Raw genomic sequence first — 24371 nt, 5'->3', positions numbered from 1 at the left:
CTGATCATCTTAATTCCCTGGTGATGATCTCCAGTTGCTTATTTCCTATGGGATCCTTATCATGACTCCCCTCCTTGTTCAGGCATCTACTCATCACTCCAACTACTTCCTTTGCCTCTAAATGCTATGCTCTAGAAGCATAAAAGTTCCTATTTTGGATGTTTCCCTGTGCACAGCTCCCCTGTCCACAACCTTTTGTTAAAGCAGTCCCTGCCGTGCAGACAGCCTTCTCTCTTTTACCTATGTAACTTACACACAAACTTTTGGTATCACCTAGGTGGCTCCCCGCCCATCCCCACAGCTAAATTCATGACTTCGTCAGCTGAGGTGCTCTATGTTTCGATAATACACTGAATTTGCCACATTGCATTACAGTTTCCTACAGTAGATTAGTTCCTGAATGGGTTGTAGTGGACAGGCCTAAACTAAGTTAAGGCAGTGAGAATCTAAGCTCTATTCTGCCTAGATGAATAAATTGGCATGTTATTCTAAGTGCCACTGGGGAACTGGCTTTAGGCAGAAGATAACACTGAGAGTGGCAGATTAGAACAACTAAAACTCTCAGTAAACTATCGCAAGAACAAAAAACCAAACACCGCATATTCTCACTCATAGGTGGGAATTGAACAATGAGATCACATGGACACAGGAAGGGGAATATCACACTCTGGGGACTGTTGTGGGGTGGGGGGAGAGGGGAGGGATAGCATTGGGAGATATACCTAATGCTAGATGACGAGTTAGTGGGTGCAGCGCACCAGCACGGCACATGTATACACATGTAACTAACCTGCACAATGTGCACATGTACCCTAAAACTTAAAGTATAAAAAAAAAAAAAAAAAAAAAAAAACAACTAAAACTACAGCACCAAGAGCTCCCAAACTGGAATCCTAGTTACGTTGGAATAATAATCTTTTTTAGTGATTATTCCCATTTGGATCTGAATTTTCTGTTAATTACTACTAAAAGTAATCTGATAATTTGTGTAACACTGAACCTTTAAACAAGTGCTTCTCAAAAATTGTGACTGTGACCTACAGGTCAAAAAACATTTTACATCAGAACAGATTATCCATAAACATAAATGATTGAAACAAAATCTTCATAAAATGTTATTTACCTTTACAAATATGATCTACCCTCATATTTTCTACTTGTTCACCTTTTATATGCTGGCCCCAATTCACTAAATTGATTTTACAACCCACTAATGGATTATAATCTACTCTTTGAAAAACACTCTTCATAGCCAGTATTCCAGTGACTAACCACCGCCTTCGCTGGATAAAAATCCAGACATTTAATGACACAAAGGTCATCTATGACCTGGTCCCGGCCACTTCTCAGCCTCCTTTCCTACCACTATTTGCAGCCACCCTTCATGAGAAACTCCTTGTTATTCTCTGACTATATTACTACTTGGTGTATGATGTTCCCTCTACTATAATGCTTGCCCTCTTTCAAGTCCACTCCTACTTGTCATTCAAATATTTGCTCAGAAGTCACTTTTCTGAGGCCCCAAACTCCACATCACCGTCCAAATGGGCTCAGGCCTCTCTTGTGTACTGTTATTTATAATCCTGTGGGCATACACCTAACTAGTTGCCTGTCTACTTAACTGATCCCTTCATTCAGCCAAACTGCTGAAGCCAGAGATTGGGACTCATTCTTGATAACTCTATCATAAGGCCTGATACAAAATAGGTGCTCAATATATGTTCATTAAATAAGGAGGAGTAAGCTACATCCATGCCATATTCAACTCTCTGGCTGAGCTTTACAAACAATAAACATGGTACCACATGTAGAGATAGGGTTAAGCTACACTACTGAGTATACCAAGCAAAAGAAATGGTCTCCTTCCTCTTCCAGAACTTAAATGCTTATAATGATTGTCAAGAATGTGAGCATATTTCTAATTCATTTCCCACACATTTTATATTCCAATTTTCTGGAATATTTCTAACCAATCCACAGATAGAAAACACCTATAAATTTTCCAAGACTAGCCAAAAGCTGAAAGGTTGCGTTTTTTGTAAAGTGTTGACAGAATTACCCAAGCAAAACTCAGCACTATTCCAATGATCCAATTTCTTTTTTTTTTTTTTTTAGTTAACACATCCATCACCACGTATGCTGTACATTAGATCTCCAGAACTTGTTCATCTTATAACTGAAAGTTTAGACCCTTTGATCAACATCTCTATTTCCCTCATACCTCAGACCCTGGCAATGACTGTTCTACTCTGTTTCTATGAGTTCAATGTTTTTACATTTCAAATATAAATGAGCTCATACGTAATTTTCTTTCTGTGTCTAACTGACTCATTTAGCATAATGTTCTTCTGGTTTATCCACGTTGTCATGAATAGCAGGATTTCCTTTTTTATGGCTAAATACAATTCCATTGTATATAAATATACCACATTCTCTTTATCTATTTATGTGTCGACAGACACTTAGATTGTTTCTGTATCTTGGCTATTGTAAATAAGGCTGCAGTGAACATGGGAATGCAGATATCTCTCTTCAGGATCCTGATTTTGTTTCCCAGAAGTGGTATTGCTGGATCATAGGGTAGTTCTATTTTTAATTTTTTGAAGAACCTTCATACTACTGTTTCCCATAGTGGCTGTACCAATTTACATTCCCACCAAGAGTGTACAAGTGTTCCCCTTTCTCCACATCCTCACCAACACTTGTCATCCCTTATCTTTTTTTATAACAGCCATGCTAACAAGTGTAGGATGATCTCTCATTATGGTTTTGATTTACATTTCTCTGATGATTAGTGGTGCTGAACACTTTTTCATGTATTTCTTCTTTAGAAAAATATCTATTCAGATCCTTTACCTATTTTCAAATCAGATTTTTTGTGTTTTCTTGCTATTGAGTTGTGTGAGTTCCTTATATATTTTGGATATCAGCCCCTTATCAGATATGGTTTGCAAATATTTTCTCCCATTCGGTAAGTTACCTTTTCATTTTGTTGTTTCCTTTGATGTACAGAGCCTTTTAGTTTGATGTGGTACAACTTGTTTATTTTTATTTTGTTTGCCTATGCTTTTCGTGTCATATCTGAAAAATCATTGCCAAGGCCAATGTCAAGGAGCTGTTCCCCTATGTTTTCTTCTAAGAGTTTTACAGTTTCACATCTTACATTTAAGTCTTGAATCCATTCCAAATTCATTTTTATATGGTGTAATACAAAAGTCCATTTTTGTCATTTTGCATATGTCTATCCAGTTTTCCCAATACTATTTATTGAAGGGATTTTTGTTCCTCATTGTGTATTCTTGGTGCCTCATCAAAGATTAGTTGACCAGTTGGGCATGGTGGCTCGCACCTGTAACCCCAGCACCTTGAGAGGCAGGGGCAGGAGGATCACTTGAGCACAAGAGTTTGAAACCAGGCTGGGCAACATCCGGAGACCTCATCTCTACAAAAAAAAATCAAGAAAATTAGCTGAATGTGGTGGTGTGTGCTTGTAGTCCCAGCTCCTCAGGAGGCTGAGATGGGAAGATCACTTGAGCCCGGGAAGTCAGGGCTGCAGTGAGCCAAGATTGTGCCTCTGCACTCCAATCTGGGCGACACAGCAAGACCCTATTAAAAAAAAAGAAAAAAAGATCAGTTGACCACATGACCATACATGCATGGGTTTATTTCTGAGTTCTCTATCCTGTTTTATTGGTCTGTGTGTCTATGTTTAAGTTGTACATGCAAAACAGTATGGTACATAATGTTTTGATTACTGTAACTTTGAATGTAGTTTGAAATCAGCAAAGGTGATGCCTCCAGTTTTGTTCTTTATCAAGATTATTTATTCTATTTGTAGTCTTTTGTTGTCCTGTACTAATTTTAGGACTTTTTTCTACATCTATGAAAAATGCCATGGAATTTTCATAGGGATTGAATTGAATGTGTAGATCACTTTGGGTAACATGGACATTTTAATATTATTAATTCTTCCAATCCATAAACATGGGATGTATTTCCAGCTATTTGTTCTTTTTCAGTTTCTTTCATTGGCACCTCATAGTTTTCAGTGTATAGATCTTTTTTTTTTTATACTTTAAGTTTTAGGGTACATGTGCACAACATGCAGGTTTGTTACATATGTATACAAGTGTATAGATCTTTGTGTGTGTGTGTGTATGTAGATTTTTCACCTCCTTGGTTAAATTTATTCTTAAGATTTTATTCTTTTTAATGCTATTATAAACAGGACTGTTTTCTTTATTTTCTTTTGCAGTCCAGTTTTACATTGTACATTCTTCATTACAACAACGGTATAATTATATTGTTCAGCACTCATTACTAAACAGTGAACTACTTAAGAGCACAAACACGTCTAATTCACTTTTCCCACCACCCTGTAAAGAACATGAGGCAAAATAGACATCTATAAATGTCTGTTGAATGAATCAATGTGTTATACTGAGTTCTTCTGCTTAGCTCTGTCTTTTGGACTCACTGACTCCTCCCTTCTCCTGTTTCCTCCTTCTTCATCTAAAAAAGAACTTCCTGCAAAGCTGATTCCCTATTGTTCATGCCTGGGTAATATCTGTACCCTTAAGGCTTTCCTCTCTGTGCTCTTAAATGCATGGGCATAGTGTAGCTCTCCTTTAGTTTCTGGGATATAAATTTGTTAGTTATTGATGTTTTCGTTTTGTTTTCGTTTTCGTTTTTTGAGGCAATTCTCCTGCCTCAGCCTCCCAAGTAGCTGGGATTATAGGTGCCTGCTACCAGGCCTGGCTAATTTTTGTATTTTTAGTAGAGGCGGTGTTTCACCATGTTGGTCAGGCTGGTCTTAAACTCCTGATCTCAGGTGATCCACCCGCCTCGGCCTCCCAAAGTACTGGGATCACAGGCGTGAGCCACTGAGCCCAGCCTTAAATTTGGTAGTTAAATCTGAGATATCTTAATAATAGAAATGGTTTGTGTGCTTACATTTCCAGGAAAGAACTAAACTTTTCTGACATTTTTGCATTCTGTTCCACAACATATCTGTTTAATAGAAAAATAAGATTTTTAATTCTCACAAGTTAAATATTGTACATTACACACAGACACACACACACACATGAACACACACAATTTTCTATCAAAATTGATGTCTTGGGAAGACAAGCCTTGTTTACACTGTGGTTTCATATATACCTTGGTACACCACTGTGTAGCCCAGTACAGGAAGCACACCATTAAAGGGTTTTTCTGCTATTCACTTGAAAACACAAAAGGAGATGAAAACACAAAAGCTGTACCTAGGGATGTCACTGAAGACTTAATGACATTGTCCTGGCTTAATTTCTAACTACTTTTCCGTAAAATGGTTTCATAACCTTTCCTACAATTACTTCTCCTTTTATCCCAGAAGGAATAAAAAGAAAAAGAAGATAGTTCAGTTTCATATGTGCTGCATTTGAGATGCCTGGAAGCATCTGGAGCTTGAGAAAGAGGTTTTTGCTGGAAGAACAAATTTGGGAGTTGTCAGCAATTAAAGCTAAATAAATGGATAGAGTGACTCAGAGTATATATGTAGAGCAAGAGGAGGCTGAGGTCAGGCAGTAGGGAACAGACAGGATAGAGAACTTTTGAAGGAGACTGAGAATTTTTTAAGAGAGGAAAGGGAACCTGCAAAATTCATCACAGTACCCAGCTTGTGTCTTCTTTGTCATAGGAGGCACTCAATAATTAATCAGTTAACTTAGCAAGCATATTTCTCCCTCCAAAGCACTATGCTTTGAAATATTGGAATGACCCCTCAAAGGCCCAAAAGACCAGTTAGAGAGACAGATCATAAATAAGTACAACATAGTAAAACAGATACTATGAACATGGTTGCACCTGAGGCCTACTGGAGTACCAAGAAAGGAAGTGGTCCATGCAGAACTTCTCAAAATAAACAATGCTAGGGCTGAATCTTGAAGAATGATTAGGAACTCATCAAGCATTGGGGAAAGAAATTAGTTTGGAGGGCATTCCATGCAGCAAGATCTGTAGATGCATTGAATTATGAAATGGTATAGAGTGGTTGAGAAATTCCAATTAATTTGGCACAGCAGGGATTTAAGATTTGAGGAAAAAGTAAAGGAAGAGAAGCTGGAAAGCCAGGCAAGACCAGGTTACAAAGGACCCTGTAAGATATGATAAAGTGTTTGGATTTTATCCTGAAGACTAAGGGAAGCCACCAGTATTTTTAAATGGAGAAAAGAGGGATAAGATTAACATTTCAGAAAGATCATTCTTGCATCAGACTGTAAGATAGGTGAGAGGGACAAGATTAGAAGCTGATAAAAAAATAAAAATAAAAAAAAAAAGATTAGAAGCTGGTAAACCAAATAGGAAGCTAGTTAAGGAGTCTAAGTGGAGTTGGAAACCCAGATTAGGCCAAAAACAGGGAAAACCTAGAGAAGCTGACAGAACAAACAGCCATAGAAAAGGTAGAATAGGCTAGACACATTGTATGTGATTACATGAGGTGGAGGAGAAATTAAGAGTCGAGGATAACACCAGGTTTCTGTTTGGGTAGTTGGGTAGAGAAATTCTATTCACATATTCACAGAGAATGAGGATAAGTAAGAGGGGAAGTAGATCAGGAGTTACAGTGATGAACTTGGTTGTAAATATACTCGTGTTAAGGAACTGTCTTGTTAACAATTGTTCTGGAGCTCAGAGGATAGAGGTAAGCTAGCAATTCAAACTTGAGAGTCATACGCACATACATGGGAAATGGAGCAATTGGTTTAGATGAGATTTCTCAGACAGGAAATATAGGGGGAGAAAAAAAAGAGTCCTAGCATAGAGCCAACATACAAAGGCCAGAGAGAGAGAGAGAGAGAGACAGAAAGACAGAGAAAGAGAGAGTAGCCCTCTTAGGGGATTGAAAAGGAGCACTACAACTAGAACACTGCTGTCTCAAAATCCAGAGGAACAGAGTGTTGAAAATGTCAATTTGAGTCTATCTCCCCCAGTAGATTGTGAGTTATTGGGGGGCATACAATAGTTAATTTTGTATTCTCAGAACCTAACGTTGGCCAGGCTCCAGAGTATTGGTTTAAAGACTATCTTTGGCCATTGGACTTGGAAATTAGGACATTCACTATTGACCTCTGATAGAGTTGTCTCTTCAGAGGGGCAAAAGCAGAAACCATAAATACAGCTCAAGAAGTTTGGTGACCATGAAAAGGGAAGACAAGGCAGAGACACATCAGCAACTTGAAAGGGAGTCACATTTAAAAAGTCCATTTTGGGGATTTTTTTTTTTTTGCAAGGTCATTCATTTGTACAGATAGACACTTAAAGGGTATGTGTAAATTGAGGGGAAAATCCAAAATCTTGGGTTGAGAGCAAGAAGAAAGGGAGCTTTCTTCTCATTCCTTATTGTTGCTTCCATAGCTCCTCCATTTTTGTGTAAAGTCCCTTATCTTTTGGGACTCAGGACATTGGTTTTACCACTTCCTGTTAATGGTCTCGGCCTTAGCTGCTAAGGGATAAGGATCCTAGGGCATCTTTTAGCCCAACCGGCAGGAAGTCAGTTGGCAAGGTTGCAGTTTAAGCATGTCTACTTTTCAGGAGAAAGCATGCACAGTATATACTCCACAGCTAGTAAAAAAAAAAAAAAAAAAAAAAAGAATCATTAAATTCGGTCAGAGACCTAACAGGATGGGTCTAGAGAAGATTGAGAGAACATGAATTCAAAACCTGACTGAGTAGTCAATACGGAGCTGGCAGAGATAGAAGCAAATACAGGAAGGTAAAGACCTCTCTAGAGAAGTTCTGCAAACACTCGAGAACAAGATTCCCTTCCCCGTCCCACCTTTTTAATGACAGGATGGTTCATTCATGCTGGGCTAATGGAGTTTGGGGTTGGGAGAAGACAGCTCCTAATCACTCACAGATTCAGTGAAGTCTTAGTCTCAGAGTCTTGCTCACCATCCCAAGACCTGCTATCATTCCATCCATGTGCTTGCCCCATCCATGTAGTTGCTCCATCCAAGTCTCTGGCCCCACTGTTCTACATTGTCCTCACCTCCAGTAACCCATCCAACCAGCCCACTCTGTTTACCAGGCCTCTGGCCCTTTCCTGATGAGATCTGCTTTACCCCTGAAATTTTGCCCTCCAGAATCTCACTCTGTAAACCCAGCTTCTTGTCTCTGGCTCCCTCATCCCCTTACACTCAGATGTTAAACCTCTAACCTCTTGAAACTCCAGTCCTTTGGACTCTCTCTTTTACCCTTTTGTCTACCAGGCCTTTCTTCTTTTTCAACTCAGCCTGGATGTCATGAGCCAACACCACCATTCTCATGCCATGCCCTGTTGAACCCGTTGTCTTTTTCTCCCACCTACATACTAATCACCAGATTCTCTACTCCTGTGCCTTCTTCACTGAACACTCCTAGAAACAAGAAGCATCAACAACCATTGGAATTGTCACCAACAGAGCTGGGTCCTGAACACAACTCAGCAAGCTTGGGTTGTCCAATTCCATCACCTCATTGACTCCTGCAAACTCTCTCCACTTTTTTTTTTTTTTTTTTTTTTTTTTTTTTTTGAGATGCAGTCTCACTCTGTCACCCAGGCTGGAGTGCAGTGGCATGATCTCAGCTCACTACAACCTCCATCTCCCAGGTTCAAGCGATTCTCCTACCTCAGCCTCCTGAGTAGCTGGAACTACAGGCATGCACCAGCACACCTGGCTAATTTGTGTGTGTTTGTGTGTGTGTGTGTGTGTGTGTGTTTAGTAGAGACAGGGTTTTGCCACGTTGGACAGGCTGGTCTCAAACTCCTGACCTCAGATGATCCACCTACCTCGGCCTCCCAAAGTGCTGAGATTACAGGCATGAGCCACCCCGCCGAGCCTTTCTCCACTTTTCTTAAACCCTCTACTTCACCTTCACCTCTGTCAGCACTTAACCTCACTGCCTATTCTGCAAAAAAGAAAAAGGAGTCTGTAGGCAAAGTTCTCTCAATTTCCTGTCCTCGTGATCCTTATCTGTACCCACAAACTAGGCAATTAGTTGAAAGAGTATTTACTGAAGACAATTCACCCAATGACCAAGCTACCCAAAGTCCAATTCGCCAAATTTTCCAAATTTACCAACTTAGAAAAATCTGCTTTTGGACACCAATATCTAATTTAGTGAAATTATCCATTCAAAAATTTGTTTATATCAGCAATTTATAAAGTTTATGGCAATTGTGTTGCATGGAAAAGTTTAACAGCTTTATGGATTCTATTATTTAAGATTTGCAACTGATTTCAGTTTGACTTAGTTTAGTTTTAGTTTTACCAGTTTCTTCATTAGACTCATTGCACAGTGGATTTCAGTCAAACTCCACTGAATGTCAGTTTTGTGTGTGATACACATTTCAGACATTTATGATTCAAATGCCTAAAACAAATAGATAATGCTCATTTGATCAAGATGATAAAAGTCTCTGAATTTACAGTGTTGAAATGAGCACTTTCCAATTCACTCTATGAGGCAGGTTAATTACCCTGATACTAAAACCAAAGATGTAACAGGAAAACAAAAATACAGATCAATATCTCATGTGAATATGCAAAATTCCTCAACAAAATACCAGTAAACTGAATCTAACAGCATATAAAAAGAGTTACCACCATGTCAAATGGGGTTTATCCCAGAAATGCAACATTGGTTTTCCATCCTAAAATCAATTAATATAATACACCATATCATATCAAGAGAATAAGAAATGAAACCACATAATCATCTCAGTATACACAGAAAAGGCATTTGACAAAATTGGACACCTTTTCATCATAAAACACCCAGTAAACTAGGAAAAAAGGGAATTTTTTCAACCTGATGAAAGGCATGGATGAAAAACTGTACCTAACATTATACTTAATATTAGAAGACTGGATGATTTCCCTCTAAAATCAAGAATAACACAGGGAGGTCCACTCTTGCCTCAACATTGTACTAGAGGTTCCACAAGAGCCACTGGAAAAGAAAAATAAATAAAAGACTTTTATATTGGAAAGGAAGAAGTAAAACTATCTACTTGCAGGTGACAAGGTCTTGTATATAAAAAATCCTAAGGAATTTACAAAAAAAAAAAACCTATGAAAACTAATAAATAAGTTCAGCAAGGCTACAGGATACAAGATGGGAATACGAAAATCAACTGTATGCAAAATTCAATTGTATTTCTGCACAGTAACAAGAAACAACTCAAAAAGGAAATTAACAATTCTATTTACAATAACATCAAATAGAATTAAATGCTCAGGAATAAACTTAAGAAAAGGACAAGATTTATACACTGAAAGCTACAAAACATTGTTGAGAGAAATGTTAAAATGCCTAAATAAATAGAAAGACATTATATGTTCAGGGATTAGAAAATATCACATTATTAAGATGCCAAACTGATTTACAGATTCAACACAATCCCTATCAAAATCACAGCTATCTTTTTGTAGAAATTGCTAAACCAATCCTTAAATTCATATGGAAATTCAAGGGACTCAGAATAGCCAAAATAATCTTGAAAAAGAACAAAGCTGGAGGATTCACACTTCCAGATTTTAAAACTTACTACAACATAATCAAGACTGCGTGGTACCAGCATCTACAGATCAGTGGAATAGATTTGAGAGTCCAGAAGTAAAACATTACTTTTATGTTCAATTCATTTTTGACAAAAATGATAAGAAAATTAAATAAAAGAGAAGTCTTTTCAACAAATGATGCTGGGACAACTAGATATCCACATGCAAAAGAATAAAATTGGACTCACATCATATACCAAAACTAACTAAAATGGATCATTTACCTAAAGTAGGAGCTGAAGCTATTAAAACTCTTAGAAGAAAACACAGCAGTAAATCTTCTTGACCTTGGACAATGATTTCTTAGATATGACACCCAAATCACAAGCAACAAAAGGAAAATCAAATAAATCTAACTTCATTAAAATTAAAAACGTTTGTGCTTCAAAGCACACTGTCAAGGAAATGAAAATTCACAAAATGGGAGAAAATATATGCAAATCACATATCTGATAAGGAACTTGTATCTAGGTATATAATTCTTGTATCTAAAGAATCCTTATGGCCTGGCGCAGTGGCTCATGCCTGTAATCCTAGCACTTTGGGAGGCCAAGATGTGTGGATCACTTGAGGTTAGGAGTTCAAAACCAGCCTGGCCAACATGATGAAACACTGTCTCTACTAAAAATACAAAAAAATTAGCTGTGCATGGTGGCTGGTGCCTGTAATCTCAGCTTCTTGGGAGTCTGAGGCAGGAGAATCTGTTGAACCCGGAAGGCAGAGGTTGCAGTGAGCCAAGATCACACCACTGCACTCCAACATGGGTGACAGAGTGAAACTCCATCTCAAAAAAAAAAAAGAAAAAAGAATCCTTACAACAACTCAGCAAGAAAGAAAAAATTTAATGGGCAAAGGATTTAAATAGAGATTTTTTCCCAAAGAAGTTATACAGCCAGTTTTTTGCTTTAACAAGAACTGGAAGCCCCACCAGGTTCTCGCTGTAAAGACTGGAGAAAATTTCCTCATGCATCCAGCAGGGGGACAGAAAAAGTAACAAATTTGAAATATACCCAGAGCTCTCTGTTCTCCTTAACAAGGCCTGCCCTCAGGGAAAACTGTTTACCACAGCCTAACCAACTTGAGTTTTACCAAAGCCTAACCAACATGGGGCAAGGGAAATACCCAGCCTCAGCCCCCTCCAGCCTTCCTGTCTCTCTACGGTGGAGTAGGGGGAAGCTGAGAAGCACTTGCCAAGGTCATAGCCCAAGGACATGGGCTCATTAAAAGACTGAGACATAATTATAAGACTATATAATGCTTCCCTTATCCACCCCAACCTTCTCACTGCATCAGTGGGCTCCTGAATAATAATAACAAGGGGTTACAGCTAAAAGAACTGCAAGCCTCAGCCCCTATTTAAGAAGGAGTCTCTAGGAAAACCCAAAGGCAAAAGGGAAGACAAAAATAAGGACACTAGGTGTTAGCTTCTGACACCACGGCTACAAGAAGTAGTAAACGCAGCCTGACTCCTAGCCAGATAAACATAAAATCTCACATTAAAGGCCTATCTACCTCAGTTCCTTTTACCTGATACATAATATCCAGTTTCAAAAAAAAAAAAAAATTACAAGACAGGCTAAAAGGCAAAAAAAAAAAAAAAATCTGAAAATACAAAGCAAGCATCAGAATCAGACTTATATGCCATAGATTTTGGAATTATCAGGCTGGAAATTTAAAATGAGTATGATTATATGCTAAGGGCTCTAGTGGGAAAACTGGATAGCATACAAGAACAGATGGATAATGGAAGCAGAGTAAAGGAAACTCTAAGAGACGATCAAAAGGAAATGTTAGAAATTTAAAACAGTGTAATAGAAATAAATAATGTATGTGATGGACTCATCAGTAGACTGGACATGGCTGAGGGAAGAATCAGTGAGCTAGAAGATATATCAATAGAAATTTTCCAAACTGAAAAGCAAAGAGAAAAAGGAATGGGGAAAAAAATGAAACAGACTATCCAAGAACTGTGGGACAATAACAAAAGGTGTAACATATGTGTAATGGGAATATCAGAAAAAAATAAAGAAAAGAAAGAAAGAAAGAGAGAGAGAAAAAAAAGAAAGAAAGAGAGAAAAAGAAAGAAGAGGAAAGAAAAGAAAGAAAGAAAAAAGGAAGGAAGGAAGAAAGAAAGAAAGAAAGAGGGAGGGAGGAAAGAAGGAAGGAAAGAAAGAGAGAAAGAGAGGAAGAAAGAAGGAAAGAAGAAGGAAGAAGAGGAGGAGGAGAAGAAGGAGGAGGAGGAGGGAAAGAAAGGAAGGAAGGAAGGAGAGAAAGCGAGGGAGAGAAGGAGGGAGGAAGGGAGGGAGGAAGGAAGGAAGAGAGAGAGAGAAGGAAGGGAAGGAAGGAAGGAGAAAAGGAAAGAGAGAAAGCAAGCAAGCAAATAAATATGTAAAGTAATAATGACTCAGAATTTTCTGAAATTAATGACAGACAGCAAGCCACAGACCCAGAAAGCCCAAAGAACAACAAGCACAATAAATACTGAAAAAATCTATGCCTAGGTGTATCATATTGAAACTACAAAGAGAAAATCTTGAAAGAAACCACAGAAGAAGATATACATATAGTCAATAAGCATATAAAAAAGATGCTCTGCTGGGCGTGGTGGCTCACACCTGTCATCCCAGCACTTTGGGAGGCCAAGGCAGGTAGATAACTTGAAGTCAGGAGTTCGAGACCAGCCTGGCCGACATAGTGAAGCCCCGTCTCTACTAAAAATACAAAAAATTTAGCTGGGCGTGGTGGTGCATGCCTGTAATCCTGGCTACATAGGAGGCAGGGTGGGAGGATTGCTTGAACCTGGGAAGCAGAGGTTGCAGTGAGCTGAGATTGCACCACTGCACTCCAGCTTGGGTGACAGAGTAAGATTTTGTCTCAAAAAAAAAAAAAAAAAAAAAAAAAAAAGATGCTCAACATCATTAGTTATTAGGGAAATGGGAATCAAAACCACAACAATATACCACTTTATACCCAGCTGGATAACAACAAAATGACGAACAGTAAATGAGGGTTCCAGTTTCTCCGTATCCTTGTCAACAAGTGTTTGACACTTGTTTGACCAGTAAACGAACCCTCATTTACTGGTGGTGGAAGTGTAAAATAGTGCAGCTGCTTTAGCAACAGTTTGGCAAATTTTCTCAAATATTTTCTAAAAATGTTAAACATAGAGTTATAATCATACCAGCAATTCCACTCCTAGGTATCTACCCAAGAAGAGAAAACATGTGTCCACACAAAAATGTATATACAAGTGTTCATAGCAGCATTACTTATAATAGCCCCAAAGTGGAAACAACCCAAATGACCATCAACTGATGAAAAGAAAAACAAGATGTGTTATATGCATACAAGGGAATATCTTCAGCCATATCTTAAGTCAAGAAATGAAGTACTGATACATGCAATGACATGGATGAATACTGAAAACATGCCAAGTGAAAGAAGCCAGATGCAAAAGGCCACATGTTGTATGATTCAATTTATATGAAATGTCCAGAATAAGCAAATTCATAGAGTCAGAAAGTAGATTATTGGTTGCCAGGAGCTGAGGGGACAGCAAATGGAGTAACTGTTAATGGGTGTGGGGTTTCTTTTTGGGTGACAAAAATATTCTGAAATGTAATAGTGATGATAATGCACAACCCCATGAATATACTAAAAATTACTGTGAATTGTACACTTTAAAAGGATATACTTTATGGTATACATAGTGTATCTCAACAAAGCTGTTACTTTAAAAAGTAATAAAGCCAAAGTAAAAACCTGACTACTTAGAAGTAGTAACAACTATTTAATCAACAGGAATGCTCCTAAAGTACAATATTCCTATTGTGATACAAATGGAACTGGCAGAAATTTTGCAAATGTTTCTCAGATGTCACTACAGCAGGAGACCCATTTATCAATGGCCATCATGATATCTTAGAAAAATTGTCTTAGACTAATTAGTTTATAATATAATTTATATTATTAATTTTATCACTTATTGTAGTCACTATTATATGATTTACCAACCAACAAGTATGGAAATACAGTATGGCTATATTTCAGCCCACATCTACATTTCTATTAAAAGTACAAATGCACAAAAAATATTAAAGTAAAAGGAAAACTGTTGGATTGAAAATATTTTGGAAGGGAGAATTCCACGCCCCCCCAGATTGTATATGAAATTTTTGACATCTGAGTCATTGTACAACATTTGCAGAGTAAAATGCATAAGAAATTCCCATTCCCCAAAGTCACAGATCCAAAATAAGGAAAAACTTAGAATACACTGAACTTTGGCAAGCCATGGCAAAATGATTTCAGAGAAACAGCTGCAAATAAATTAAAAGTACAACTAAGCTAAACTAAACTCAAAATTGTCAACTGATACTTTGTAGAAATCATTAAAAGTAGTTAAAATCAGCCCAACCATGCAAATTGTTTTAACCTTCACACGTAATTAAAAGAAACAAAATTTTGGTAAACTGATAAAATTGGTAAGTTCTAACAAATTGATCACTGTGTGAATTGAAATCCACAGGACTGGCTTTCCTTACTTCCCATCTCAGTGGATAGGAGTCCTTCCTCTTCGCCATATTTAATCCCTCCACCTGTGTTCTAGATTCCATTTCCTTCTACTTTCTCTGGCTCTTGCTCTGTGGGAGAGCATAGGGAGCTTCCTTTTCCTTTCCTAGAGCCTCTACAGGGAGTTGAAGTCCTTCAGAGCCTGGAAAACATCCTCACTCTTGAAAGATCCCAATTCAAACAGTGCTGGACTCTGGCCATTTTTTTTTTTTTTTTTTTAATACTCCTGCTCACTTCTTCCAGGGCTGGGCTGTACCAAGGAGTTCTAATGACTTGTGATTTATAAGTATTTTGAACTAAGGCTTGGAGCAGTCTGAAACCAAGTACTAATGCTACCCAGTGCCTCCAGCTCACTAGGAAAGAACGGAGGACTAACAGAACCACTGACAACTGTCTGCCTCCCATCCTGTCACTCAAGATCATCATTCACAAGGTAGGCCTTTTGAGTCATCTCTCCTTTCTCATTTGGTCATCGCCACATTGATGTGCCCTTCCCTGACCCTAGTTGACTGGACCTCCCACTGCTTCCCTGCCTTTTAGCCTTTCCCATCATGGATTCACCCCTCAGTCTTTCCTGTTCTGAAACCTCCATTTCATGGTGACAAACTCCTGAATTCTCAGCCCCTTCATATACCTCTGAGCCTCCACTTCCTGTGTAAGAGACCTGGCTTTGCTTAAGTACTCCCCTTTTGCACATACTTTCACATATCTTTGAAGGAAAAGGGAAGGAGTCACCACTATCCAGGCTTCCCAAGGCCTAAACAGAGACAACTATTTCTCCATCCTCACCCCTCAGCCTTTGAAATTATGCCGTCTTACACAAGACTCTACCCTCCTCAGTGTTGTCATGAAATGACTTTCCCTCTTTTTCACCAAGGACTTAGGTGTAGGTGTGTCTCTATCCTTTGTTTTCTTGCCAGTGTCCTCAACTCCTTGGTCCTTTAGGCTTATAAGGCCACCAGCTATCACTTCCCTTAACAGTGTCTTCACTCCTTTAAAGCTTTCAAGATTTCTAACATTATTGCCTCCCTCGTGCCCATTTTTCACAAAATCCCAACTCCTCTCTAGAGAGAATGAGATCATCAGGTATGATGGCCTCAAATTCCTGCCTTGTCCACCTTCTTCCCCCACTACCACACACTTACACACATGCCGTTATCTGCACCCCACTCATCTTCCTTTTCAGTCTTGGAGGAGGAGGTACTTCTCTTCCTGGCAAAGACCAATCCCTCTTTGTTGTGATGGTTAATTCTTCAGTCCCTCCTCTCTCCTCTGGGACCTTGCTCCATTCTCTCCATGAGTTCCTTACCTGAGATGTTAAACATGCTCTTGTTGCCTTCTTCCAAAGAGCTCTCTGTCAACCCTCTCTGCTCCCACTCCTCCTGCCAATACCCCAACCCACCCCACCCTCCCACCTAGGTTATCTATCCTCTCTCTCTTTTCTCTTGCATTCACTGAGTAATGGTACTTGATTCTGTTGTCTCACTAACATCTTTTCTTTATTCTGGAACAACCACCCCCTTCATGTCAGCCATTCACTTAACAAATATTGACTGAACATCACCTATGTACATATATGTGCTACAGTGGTGAACAAACCAGCTTTACCGTTTAGTGGAGTGTATAGACATTTAACCAAATATTCACACACTAGAATGGATGTAAACTTGCCACTGTGATAACTGCCACAGAGGAGAAGTACCAGGCACTATGACAACCCATAATATGGGGATTTGACCTAAAGAGGTCAGAGAAGATATCTATGATGAAGTGTTGCTTCAGCTGAGATCTGAAGGGTAAATGAAAGGTCAATTAACAGAAGAAGGGACCAAAGTATGCCCTAAACAAAAGGGCACGTGTATGCCAAAACATTTTTAATCATCGGTCTGAATGGGAGCTGCCGTCTTTTAAGTGACCTGGCCCCCTGCTCCCGAGATTGATCTGGATGGGCACGTAAGTCAGCCCCGGCCCCAGGCCATCCAGACTCTTTCCCCAGGATTTCCGAATCTGTGGTTGTTGTTATAAGGCCTATTTTTTAAACTAAGTAAATACATAATATTGATTAGAAAACTAATTTTAAAAATCAGTAGGAAAGAGGAGAAGAGCCAAATCTGCATACAGAAGAATTCCAAATAAAGTATATTATGTTTTAATACATATCATACATACCCCCTCTAGGAGATGGAGCTTAATCTCCCCCTCCCTGAGTATGGGACTTAGTGACACTTCTAAAGAACAGAATATGGTAAGGGGGAAAGTAGCCTTAAAGTGGAGAGATCTTAATGCAGTGACTAAGGTTAACATTACCAGTGAAAATTTACATTTATATCATGCACCCCCTGATATGATATAGAGAGAAGGCACTTCAGCTCTGTGGTAGTCTCTCGCCAGTTTAATCACATGGAAAACAGAGAAATCCAAATTGAGGGACACTCTACGAACTGCCTGGCCAGTACTCTTCAAAATTGTCAAGGTCATTAAAAAAAAAAAGAAAGATGGAGACACTGTCACAGACCAGGGGAAACTAACCAAACACGATGACTAAATGCAATGTATCCTGGATTGAATCCTGGGATAGGAAAAGGACATTAGTGGAAAAACTGGTGAAATCAGAACAGAGTCTGGAATTTAGTTAATAATGATGTACTGGCTCCGTGCAGTGGCTCACACCTAAAATTCCAGTATTTTGGGAGGCCAAGGTAGGAGGATCCCTTAAGGCCAGGAGTTCAAGACCAGCCTTGGAAGCATAGTGAGACCCCCTACACTCTACAAAAGATAAAAAAATAAAACACTAGGCTGGGCGTGGTGGCTTACACCTGTAATGCCAGCATTTTGGGAGGCTGAGGTGGGTAGATTGCTTGAGCTCAGGAGTTCCAGACCAGCCTGGCCAACATGATGAAACTCTGTCTCTACAAAAAATACAAAAAATTATCCAGGTGGTGGCAGGTGTCTGTAGTCTCATTTACTCAGGGGAGGGGGGTGGGGGGGGTGTGGAGGTTAAAGTGGGAGAAAGCACTTGAGCACAGAAGGTTGAGGCTGTAGTAAGCCATGATGACACAACTACACTCCAGCCTGGGTGACAAAGGGAGACCTTTGTTACCACAAAAACTAGCCGAGTGTGGTGGTATGTGCCTATAGTCCCAGCTGCTTGGCAGGCTGAGGTGGGAGAATTGCTTGAGCCTGGGAGTTTGAGGCTGAATTGAGATGTGATTGTACCACTGCACTCTAGCCTCAGCGACAGAGTGAGATTCCATCTCCAAAATAATAATAATAGTAATAATAATAACAATATACCAATGTTTAGAGGAAACTCGGTGAAGGTATATGGGAACCCCCAGTACTATCTTTGCAACTTTTCTATAAATCTAAAATTATCCCAAAATAAAAAGTTCATTAAAAAAATCAGTGGGAGAAAATGAAGCTGACAAGCAAAAGAAAATGAAATGAAAAACAGAAACCAGAGACACAGAGAAAGTCTTAATGGGCTTTCAGTTCCTGGTTCCATTAGCCAGTCGTCTCCCAGCTTTAGTTATCTGGGCCAATAAATATACCTTTCTTTCCTAAATGAATTCAAATTGTGTTTCTTTCATGTGCAATCAACTTTTCACTCTTCCACACACATCACTATTGTTTTACTTCCACTTCACCTTTTCCTCCCTGTGGCCTGGTGTCTTTCCCCTCCTCTCCTTTGATACTAAGATCATCGGTTATCTCCTGATTCCAGAATCTAATGAAGACCCCTCAGGCTCATCTTCCTGCAATATTTTTACTCTGATGACAACTCTCATTCTAGTGGTTGTTTCTTCCCTTGCTTTCTATGATAACACATCATATACTCCTTTTTTTTTTTTTTTTTGAGATGGAGTCTCACTTTGTCGCCCAGGCTGGAGTTTAGTGGCGCGATCTCGGTTCACTGCAACCTCCACCTCCTGGGTTCAAGCGATTCTTCTGCCTCAGCCTCCCGAGCAGCTGGGACTATAGGCACACACCACTGCGCCCAGCTAACTTTTGTATTTTTAGAGACGGGGTTTCACCATGTTGGCCCAGGCTGGTCTCAAACTCCTGAGCTCATGATCTGCCCACTTTGGCCTCCCAAAGTGCTGGGATTGCAGGCGTGAGCCACCGCACTGGCCCAGATACTACTTTCATTTAAGTCTTACCTTGTTGCCTGCTTCTTCTCAATCTCTTTTATGACTCTTCTTTTTTTTGCCCATGTCTTAAAGGCTGCCTAGATGCTCTTCTCACTTCATGCTCTCTGTGGGTGGCCACATCCATTCTCATGATTCCACTTACCACCTGCAAAATAACTGCTTTGAAATATCTACCCTCAGCTCAACTCTCTTCTGAGTTCCAAATTTTATACTCAATCACCTATTAGACATATTTATTTGGATATCTCACATACATCTTCGACTCTTATATCCAAAACTCAACTCACCATCTTACCTTTTCCCCACAAACCTGCTTCTCTATTGCTTCCCCAGCTTCCTAAGTAGCATCACTAATGTACGACCCAAGAACATGGAAGCCATCTTAGAATCCTCCCATGCTACACCCTTTACTTCTAGTAGTTTTATCCCTGTAATTTCTCTCTTATCTTACTCCTCTTTTCTAATCCTACTATCACTACCTTAATTTAGACCCTCATTATAAGCTGGGGAATAGCCAAAATTATGTTGATGACACGTAACCTGTCCATTTCATTTATCTTATTAAATAAACCCTTCAATGGCTCCTCAGAGCCTGGACCATTTGCATGACATATATTGTCCATGATTTGGCTCCATTTACCTTTCCTGTTTTTGCTTCCCACACTAGCCCATATGCTCAACACTCCAGCCAAGCCAGTTTGTGCAGGACCACCACCACTGAAGCCTGGATGCCACCCTTCATGGCCAGAGCTATTTTCTTTCATGCTCTTGTGATCTTGAACATGTCAGTTTATTCTGCCTGAAAGTCCTTTCTCTAACTTTTCCCTCTGCTATGCTTCTAATCCTTCAAATCCAGTTCCATTGTCATCTCTGTGACACTATTTGCTGATGTCCCAGCCCTGGTCTGGATTAGGAAGCCCCCTATATCCACAACCCCATGCTCTCCTCTATTGTACCTTCTGTTGTCAGTTGAGAGGTCTGTCTTCACAGCTTACCATGAGTTCCTTAGTCATGTCTTAATTTTTGTATCTTAACTATAAAGTTGCACATAGCAGGCACCTAAATGTATCTTCAATAAATGAAGGAAGCAAGAAAATAAATGAATTTGGATTCTTCTATTTGAAAAACTTCCTGACCCCCTAAAACTCCTATCCCTTACGCCAGTTATAGGTCTCTCTCCTCCCCTGTAGTTAGGCCTCCTTAAAGAATAAGCTCTACTCCAAGTCTTCAGTTCCTCACCTTCCACTCACTCCTTAGTTACTGAGTGCTAATTAGCCTTCATCCTTACCACTCCACCTACCACATTGTCCCCAAGGTCACCAGCCTGCCCCCTAGGCCCCAGCCAAATCCAATGGATACTTTTCAGTCCTTACCTCACTGGCCTCCTCTGTGTCATTCCAACCTAATGACCTCTCCTCACTTCATGGCTTCTTCTGTGGCCATTCCCTGGGCTTCAGTGGCACCACTCACCTCCCTTTCTTTCTCCTCCCTGTCTGGCCACATCCTCTCACTTTCCTTTGAGGGCTCCTCCTCTTCTCAACCTTTACATGTTGGAGCTTCTCAGCATCTGTCCTAGACCTTCTTTTCTTCCTAATGTACATGCTCTCCCTCTGTAATCTCATTCACTCCCTTACCTTCACTTACCATCTGTCACACTTACTATACAATACAGCTTACTGTATACAAAGCAACACAAATTGGGTTGTTGAGGACATTTCAGGTTAATGGGTCTTGCCCAAACAGTAATTTTTCATTTTTCCCAGTGAGAAGATCCAAAAAGCTTTTCAACCAACCTAGAAATGTAAACCTTTAAGGATGAGGATGAAACAATCAAAAGTGTACTTCTATGAGTTAATGGACTTTATTGGACATATATTTAAATTCATATATCATATAAAAATATATAACTGATAAATATTGTCTTTTCCATTCTCATAAATTATGAAGCAATTTTATGCATACTCAACACAAGCAGTGTCTTTCTCATCATTAGGATCACTTTTTCAGCCATCTTACATGTTTTCCCAGAACAGATGTCCTTCTCTTCAGTTTAAGCGAAGGGCTTGGGAGAGGACACAGCACAGTTTGAATTCACAGATGATGCAGTCCTTGGAAACTTTATCCTAAGTCACAAGTTTCCTTTGCATCACACTAGAACAGTTGGTTTTTTGCATGCACCCTGCCTGAGTATATTCATGACTTCAAAACATCACTTAATGTAATACTTTTTAAAAATTATATTTCTGTTAACTTTTTTTACTGAAATATAACATCTATATGGAAAAGGCCACAAGCCATCATAAATATTCAGCTCAATGAACTGTCAGAGTGAAACATCCCTCAGGTCCATATAACCACTCAGGTCAAGAAATAGAACATTTTCGGCAGCCCAGAAACCTCTTCCAAGTACTACTGTATTGCTTTTTAAAGCAATCTTTAAAAAGCATATTTTGAGACATCCAACACATGCGATTATGAGGTCATACTACCAGGAATAGTTACCAAAGCTGTGTTAAATTTCTTTGACTACAATACATCCAAAATAGCATTGTTGAGGACATTTCAGGTCAATGGGTCTTAGCCAAACAGTAAAAATAGTTAGCATTTATTGGACACTTACCATATAGTGCCAGGTATATAGTGCTTTATATATATTACATAATTTAATCCTTAGGCCCACTTTATAGATGAGAAAACTGAGGCAGAGACAAGTTAAGTAACTTTCCCAGTGCCACACAGCTTGTAAATAGGAGAGTCTGGACCCCGAGCCAGGGAGTCTGGCTCCAGAGTCCACAAGCTTAGTCACCATACCATACTGCCCTATCCAGTGGTTTGTTGTTCAAAATAAAGTAAATGAGAGCAAACCCTGTAATATGAGAGACCTTGTAAGGACTCAAATATAAGGTTACTCCCTCTTTCCTGAGGGATGATTTTGGAAAAACAAAAAAGCAAAAACTTCACCCTATATTCAAGCTTATACGGCATTTGCAGATGACTCCCAAATATTTATGTCCATCCCAGACCGCTCCTCTAAGTTGCAGACCTACCTACCCAACCAGCACTTCAAAGTCAGCAGCCCCAAGTCACAGTCATCATCTCCTCATACGAACCCCCTGCAGCCTCCTGCTGCTCCTTTTGTGGAGCACAGCCAGCCTCACCACCATCCATCCACCCAGCTGCCCAAGCGCCGTGGATATGATCAAGGACCCCAGTCTCTCCCTCACTCCTCTTCCAAAATCACACTCCCTTCTTCTTCAGCTGAAACTGTGTTCCTTCTCCACAGAAGTTCCTGATTTCTTTGTGCCATTTGTACACATCTCAAGTCCAGAAAACCTGTTTTTCTCACAGTCTACTCGCAGTCCTAAGGAAGAAGGACAGGAGTCAGAACTCTTCCCAGTTCCTTTAAGATTGCTTGCTCTTTGTCTCTGTCTGATTTCCCCTCTCCCCATATTCTCTCCCAAGTTGGTTTTTTGAGCCCCTTCCCACTTCCCTGCCCGGTTTCCTCCTCACTTAATTTTTCTAGGGAGTATATCGTGAGTGGGACCACCATCCCCAAAGCTCTTCTTTCCAATATCTCCCGATCTCTACCCTCAAATTTGGGATAAAGAGAAAGTGGGGGAAAGGGAGCCTGGGGGTGAAGGAGAGAAAAGAGACAGAAATCATGGGATAATGAAAAGTGACTAACAGGGGAGAAGGCCGAGGTTACGATGGAAGAAGGGGAAGAGACAGCGGGTAGTGAAAAGGGCAGGGGTGAGAAAAGGGAATGAGGAGAAGGCGTGAGGAAAAGGGGATGATGAGGTGAGGCGAAAGACACAGGGAGAAGGGGATGGGGAGAAAGGTGGGGAGAAGAGACGGGGAGAAAGGGATAGGAAGAAAAGGATAAAAGGAGAGGTGGGGAAGGAGAATCTGATGTAAAGAGGCTGGAGAGAGATCAAGCAGAAGGGGTAAGGAGAAGAGAAAGGGGAGAAGAGCTGGGGAGAAAATGATGGAGATGGGGCGAGAAGAAGAGGATGGGAGAAAGGCAGAGGGGAATGGAGATGACGGTTGGGAAAAAGAAGGGGCGAGAGGGAGACCAGGGCACTGAGGGAGAAGAGGGGAATAGGGGATGGAAAGAAGATGGAAGAGGAGGAGGTGAGCAGCAGGGAGCGGCGAGAAGGGGAAGAGACGAGAGGGCGTAGAGAACCGAATGGGAGGAGAGGACGGGAGAAGTGACGGGGAGAAGGGAAGGGAACCGGGACGGGGGCGCGGCGCGGCGCTGGGGCCGGATCCGGAGCCGGGGCCTGGGGCCGGGAAGTGGAGGGGCGGAGGGAGGCCGGGCGGGCGCCGGGGGGAAGGGGGGGCGGCGGCGCGGAGCGCGGGTGGGGGCGGGGGCGGGGGCTCCGCGGGCGGAGGGGCGGGGGCTCGGGTTACCGCGCGGAGGGCGGGGGGAGGGGAGGGGAGGGGGCGCGGGGCCGCGGCAGCGGAGCTCGCATCCTCGGCGGGGCGGCTGTGCAGGAGGCGGCGCCCGGGCGTCAGCGGACGGACCGATCGACGGCCAAGGGCGCGCGGACCGACGGCGGCTGCCCGGAGGGGATCGCGGGCCTCGGAGACAGCGACTGCGGACGATGCGCGGCCTCAGGCCCCGCGCGAGCGGGCGCTGCCCGGGGGGCTGACCGCGGCCGGACGGCGCCCCAGCACCGGGCGAGGGAGCCCGCGTCGCGCGGAGGTCAGTGCCCGCGCCCGCCCGGCCCGTCTGGCCGCGCCCGCCCTGCCCGCCGGCCTCCCCTGGGCTGCGGCAGCGGCGGCGGAGCCGGGGGCTTTGTTCTGAGCCGGAGACAATGGGGGAGGGGGGGCCTGGGCCTGCGGGACCCGGGCGGGCGTGAACGTGAGCGTGGGGGCAGGGCCTGGGGGTCTTTGTGTGCGTGTGTCATCGAGTCGGGGAGGGTGGCGGCGGGAGCGTGCGCCGGGGGTGTGGGGTGCGACAGCGTTGTGTTCCAGTGCATCGTCGGAGTGTGTCAGTGCGTGTCACTGGGAGGTTGTGTGTCCCTGGGCGTCTCTCTGGCTGTGTGTGCATGTGCGT

The 24371-nt window shown here is 41.3% G+C and overlaps 1 protein-coding gene across 1 annotated transcript in view, besides 2 other annotated features; it reads left to right on the top strand.

Moving 5' to 3' along the window:
• Nucleotides 5744–5793: an enhancer, noted in NCBI's record as "active region_4354". NCBI's record gives its function as "activates an Ori minimal core promoter by ATAC-STARR-seq in GM12878 lymphoblastoid cells {active_cell/tissue: GM12878}" and the evidence as "EXISTENCE:reporter gene assay evidence [ECO:0000049][PMID:35858748]".
• Nucleotides 11464–11513: an enhancer, noted in NCBI's record as "active region_4353". NCBI's record gives its function as "activates an Ori minimal core promoter by ATAC-STARR-seq in GM12878 lymphoblastoid cells {active_cell/tissue: GM12878}" and the evidence as "EXISTENCE:reporter gene assay evidence [ECO:0000049][PMID:35858748]".
• The window catches only part of DCHS1 (dachsous cadherin-related 1), a 34480-nt gene continuing 33879 nt past the window's right edge, over nucleotides 23771–24371 (top strand). The window contains exon 1 of the mRNA NM_003737.4: nucleotides 23771–24017. The gene's annotated coding sequence lies outside the window, so the exon portion shown is untranslated. The remainder of the gene's footprint in view (nucleotides 24018–24371) is intronic.

The sequence above is a fragment of the Homo sapiens genome, chromosome 11, assembly GCF_000001405.40.
Source record: "Homo sapiens chromosome 11, GRCh38.p14 Primary Assembly".
NCBI classification, from domain to species: domain Eukaryota; kingdom Metazoa; phylum Chordata; class Mammalia; order Primates; family Hominidae; genus Homo; species Homo sapiens.
This window is presented reverse-complemented; position numbering and strand designations above follow the sequence as displayed.